We start from the raw sequence: 6,204 nt of genomic DNA on the forward strand, positions 1-6,204 counted from the left end.
ATCTAGGTTTCCAAACAATTATAACTTCAATGAAGGTAGTACAAGTCTCATTCTCCTTTTTCCCTGAAGGACCCATACAGTGCTAGGCACTTGGATTTCATTCATTTGAAATATATTGAGTACCTACTATGTGCTGTACCCTATGCTAGAAACTGAGTATATGATGGAGATAATATAGAGAAGCTTACATTTTAGTAGGCAGATTAAATCATTTTTACATTTATAATTGAGAGTGAGGGCTACTGGTAGTGGTGATAGCAGGGGGATTAGAACACCCTCATAGTAGGTTTGGGGTAGGAAGCTTTAAGGCCAAACCCACCTGTGGGTATCTTGAAACTTGGCTTTTGCAAACCCTGAGTCCACAATTTGATCCTTTTTATAAGTGGGTTGGATATTCTCTAGTCTTATCATATTTGAAAAGCTTTTCTCTCCCAGCTTCATCATATTTCATAACTCATAAAATATATGTGAAAGTCAATGACATTAGATCACTGTGTCTTAAGTCTTAAGAGTTTTCCTGTCTTCCTAATGATGTAGTGAGTCAGAAAATAATTAAAAATCATTTAGAGTGCAACCTCCTTTTCCCTCCCCCTGCCCCAATTCCCCACTCTGCCTACAAGAAACAGTAGGATTTATGTCTTTCCCTCCACCCTGATTGCTCTTGATAGCACAGGGACATCTTCACTGATGGGAGCTATGCCAGCCCCAGCAGTATTCTCAGCCTTGCTCAGATTCTCCCATGGGACAGCGAGTGGACACACAATTGCTATCACTATGGGGAAACTTCCACCTTTGAGATCACTGCTCGTTTTTTCTAACAGCAGCAACAACCACAAAAAACCACAGCTGACATTTACAGGATGCTTGCCCATCCATTTTCTCATTCGATGTTCACAAATGCCTTGGGGCACAGATATTACTTTTATTCCGATTAATATCAGCAAAGTATGACTCAGATAAAGCCGGGGACTTTTCCAAGGTCACTCTTCTTATGAGAGGGTAGAAACAGGATTATAGCCCTAAAGCTATTTCCTTTACCTTCTACTCTGCCTTGTCCACAGAGAGGAGGGTGGCAGAAGAAATAAAGGTGAGAGAAAGTTAAGGGAGGTGGGATAGATTTTGGTAAAATTTTATAGATCTAATCCCATGAGGAGGGATTTACCATATTATCCAATGCCTCATTCTACATAAGCCAAGTGAGAATATGGGTTAAAATATCCTCATCCAAGTCAAATTGACTTAAGCAATAAGAACTTTATTGGCTAACATATATCTACAGGGAAGACTGGTTTCAGGGACTCTGCTGGCATCACTTGGCCCATATTAGATCACATGCCTATTCCTCAATGACCAGTGGAAAGGGCCTGTTTGTTGGGGGGTCAAGTAATCTTTGGACTGCTCAGATTCATACTTGGAGCCAGGAGTGGGGTCAGCTTCCCTGGGAGCACTAGGCCTGCGTGTTTGGGTAGAAGGTGGATCTCTACAGTAAATGTCCACTAGAATGCTTGACAGAGAAGATAATGTAATTACTGAATTTGGTCACAGGGGGCAGAGCTGTTCATCAGTATAGATCCTGATTCTCAACCTTGGCCTTACAATGGCACCAACTAAGGAGATTTTTTAAATACCATGGCTGAGACCCCCTCCCCGCCCATCCCTAGAGACTCTAATTTGATAGGTCCGGGGGGAGCCTGGCATTGGGGTTTTCAAAATTCGCTTGCTAGGTGATTCTAATGTGAGGTCAATTTTGAGAACCATTCTTCTAGATACTTGCTACTCCCAAGCGTGGTCCATGGACTAGCAGCACTGCCCTCACTTGGGAGCCTGTAAGAGATGCAGAACCTCAGGCTCTACCTGGGACCTACTGAGTCATAATCTGCAGACTAACATCTGCGCAGGTGATTCACATGGCACTAAAGTTCGCGAAGCACCAGTGTTATAGATGATAATGCTCAAGGCCTTGATCATGCCCCATGTCTTTACCCTGGTTTTCAGATCTAGTTTGCAATTTATTAATTAGTAATCTTGGTGGGTAGTCCTCACAGATCTGCTCTACTTCCTAGTTTTCCTCAGAGGGAAACCTTGCAAATCAATGATTATTAATGATATGTATGATTCAGGATCACTTGAGGATTTTATTCTAAATTTATATGCCTGATTCCCACTGTAAAACAAGTGAAATAGACTCTCTGGGGGTGAGTTTGGATCATGTATATCCTAGGCAAAAACTATCTTCGGGTTCAGATACAGTCCAGAGTATGATAAAACATTGTATTTTCCCAAGATGAAAACCAGAGAGAAAACAAGCCAGTTGGGGATTTAATGATGATGTGAAAAAGAATGTTTTAACTCAACTCATTTCTAGACACTTGCTTCTCAGTCTGCTTGTGGACTTGGCCACTGAAGACCCCAGCAAAGAGGAGAGATCAGAGGCCTCAGGCTCTTAGGCTGACCAGAACAGGGGTGGTGGGGATGATGGATGGGGAGCTAGTGCCATAGATAGTTGCAGCATCAGCCCATCCTGCCGCTTCCCAGAGTAATAAATCCTGGAGGGAACACCAGTACATTCCTGATAGCAGAGAGAAGTCGCTCTTTAATGTGGGCCTGATAATGTCACTGAGCTCAGTCTTCTTAAATTTAAATGATTAGCAATGACCAGGCTTGCTCCTGCTTGATGCATCGCTTAACCTGGTAATCGGGAAATCTATTCCGCTTGCCTACTTAGATTGATGATGTCATGTTACACTGGGGCTTGCTTTCTCCCTGTAATGGGGGAAGAGCATGTTAGGATGCAACGGCCTTGACCATTCTGGACTCAGTCTTCCTCATGAATTTGATTAATATCACAGGCTCCCTGAGCACATCTCAGAATTGCTGAATCTGGCATCTCTAGGAGGACTATGTTTAGAGAGCATTGAGATGTTACTAATGGAGTCTGCCATTGGATGATTCTATTCATTTCGCGACTTCTGGACTTAGTGAGAGTATCCTTTTCTAAGAATTAAAAAAATGTATGTTTTTTGGTTGGGCCCTATCGAGTAAGGAAAAAACGAAATCCACCAAAGTAGGGCTGGCTCCCTATATCTACCTGTTGTGCTAGATGAAAGAGTCCCAACTTGTGGGCATGAATATCTTTAGGGATGCTGGAGTATTGTTTGGTGAAGCTCAAAGCTGATTGTTACCATAAGGTCTCCCATTCCCTATGCAGGTCCCTATCCTACCAGGGAGGACAAACAGCACTCCTCTTCTCCTTCATCCTATCCCGTTGAGAAGTTTCACTGCTCTATGCCCTTCTTTCTGGTGATTCCAAGGGACGGCAAATAACTGAAAATAGCCTATCTTCATGAAAGGTACTTTTTGTTAGGAAATACCAATGGGAGCCACTGGCAGACCCAAGGACAAGGCTGGAAAAGCGGGAAAGAGGGACAGGAAGATAAAGTGACAGATGAAAAGGAATAGAGAAAAGTGCCTGAAAAAAGAGGAGGCAGAGGACTAGAAGCAATGATCTCCAAGGTTAAGGTGATGCCCGGATTGTGATGGTGGACCAGGGAGGGAAAATGGAAATCAGAATGAAATCCCACTTAACAAACAGAATTAGCAAATATTTCTTGCTTACGTGCTATGTATCAGGACTGTGCTAGGTGCTCGTGATACAGAGCTGAGTAAACCTTGGACCTGCCTTCAAGGACTCCTATTAAGGAGAAGCAGCCATGCCACAGAGTTACAAAGCAGGGTGACAAATGCAACTGCACAAGTGAAGTACAGGATACCGAGAGAAAAGATTTCTTCAGGGAGATGATATCTGAGTTGAATTCTGGTATAAGACCAGTTTTCCAAGCTGATCTGTGGGTAGGAAATGAGAGACAATGGAGCATCTGCCTAAAGTAATGATTCTGCAGATAAACACTACTCCATTAAATCTGTTTCTCCTTCAGAATCACCAGAGAAGTGAGTGGATAGATACATTTTTCAATTCCAAACTGGTGTTTCACTCCAGTTCGGGCTAGATAATATCTCATTATGTTATTTGTACAACGCTGAAAACTCATTCACACCTTACTGTTTATTTATTTATTTTTTTGATTAAGGGATCAGTATCTAGTTCATACAGAGTTCTCCGACACTTGAGTTAAACCATACCCAGAGATCCCAGCTTGGAGTTTCTTATATATCCTGATTTCGCAAATCTGCACATGCTTGTGGATAATAATTCTAAAGTCTGAGTTAATTTGGAGCCAGATTAGCCAGAGACACAATCTAAGACTTTTATCTCTGCCCCCAAACAGGCTATTTCTTGGGCCACTAGCCCATCCACTCATCTGTTTGCTTTTAGAAAGTCATTTGTGTACAAACTGTGGGCATTACCAACTGCAGATGCCACTACCTCTCCTTGTTGCATCTCTTCTTGGGGTAGGGAGGAAGGCCCCACTCTAGAAGAGAAACTGCTCAGCTCCTCAGGCAAGACAAAGCATCAGTTCTGAGTTTTGGCACTGCAAAATTCTCTAAGCAAGGGCAACCCCACGGAGGTCTCAGTGCTGTAGATCGAGGTGAACAGTGTGTCACGTAATAATGGAAACCACTGAAAAATACATGGAGGAGAGAAACATATATTCCCAGACTGGAGGAAGATTGAAAGGCTAGAACCCAGGAAAAATATCATTTTAGAAGAGAAACATTTTCTTGGCTCCATGAATAAATCATTGACCAGACAAGCCTCTTCTCTTTTCCCTCCTTTATTTTGAAGCCAGTAAATTGCCTCTGATTTGGAAAGGAAGTTAGAAGCACCCTCAGTGCTGCCTGCCTCATGCTGCAGACAAATGAGGCAGCCATTTTAACTTTTCATGAAGATGTTTATTAGGCTCTTGAACTCTTCTGATCTAATGCTTCTTTGTTTGTGGCGGTTCATTTTTTTCCCCCATGTAAAGCATTGAACAAGTCTGCAATAGCCATTCTTACTTTAAACACTCATTTTTTTTTTTTTTTTGGTAGGCTGACCCAGTCTTAACCAAGAAGATGGGTGTCACGTAGATTTTTTTTCTCGTGTTCTAGAAACTAACCACAGATTAGCCCATTTTAGCACAGCCTATGTGTGTGAATGAATAGTAAGTTCCACATTAGTAACCCAGTGGACCAGAGAGCTGTCATGTTCTACCACTGCTACCAAGACCAGCTCAGCAGGGTCAGCCCGAAAGAACCAACCTTCTTTTTCACCCCCTCCTTTAGGTAATGCCACTGTTTGTCATCAGAAATGAAACACTGTCTTTGGGGGATTATACAAATTGAAATATTGTTTTAGTCAACAAATGTTTATGATACATTTTTTATTCTGTGTTATGAATGTGTTTCTATCCCCTTTTGTCTTTATCTATCTGGCTTATTTATGGGAATTACTGCTTACATATTTTCTGAGCCATTGAAATACAGCTGATCACATTCACTAACGTATTCCTATATTTTTCTTCATTGAGGATACTTAACTGCAGCCACATATTTCTGTCATTTTTGAGCTTCCAGGGAAAATAATTATCTTTTGATTCAAAGTGTTAAGAAAGCTTTCTTCTGCCCATTTCTGGTGTTTCCTTTCATTTCTTTGCCATGAGGTAAGTTGTCCAGGTGACTTATTGCTCCAGAGAGCAGCCAGTGTCGTCATTGCCTTTGAAGCCCCTGGGACATTTGAGATATAACTCCATAGCCAGTGCTGGCATAAATAGCATTTCATTATTATATTAGTCTAGTACAGAATATATAGCCCTATGGTCAATCCTACATGGCAATGTTCATAAACCTACCACAAAGTGACTAGAATTAATAGAATGTATATATTTCCATTTCCTTTTTTAAAAAATTATTCATATACCTGAATCTACAAAGGCTGAGTCACTTCCAAAGTCCAGTCCACTGGGTCCATGCTGATTAAACTTTGGGAGTCATCCTGATTTGTGGCCCGCAAGGGAAGAACAAAAATTTAATCGTTCCTGGGTGTTGTTTATAATGCCAAGAAGACCTTTATAATTGATTCTGATGAAAGTCCATTTGAGAGCCAAGAATGAGTGTGCTGGTCCATCTGAATCAATGATTTGGAATTTGAGTGGGTTTGTTCTCTGCCACTCAGGAACCCACTGAGATGGAAAACTAGGTATGTGCCACCAACAGGGCTGCTGGGTATGGTTGTTCAGGTTCATATACTGCAACTCCAAAAGGGGA

The sequence above is a fragment of the Homo sapiens genome, chromosome 1 (genome assembly GCF_000001405.40).
Source record: "Homo sapiens chromosome 1, GRCh38.p14 Primary Assembly".
In the NCBI taxonomy this organism is placed as follows: Eukaryota; Metazoa; Chordata; class Mammalia; order Primates; family Hominidae; genus Homo; species Homo sapiens.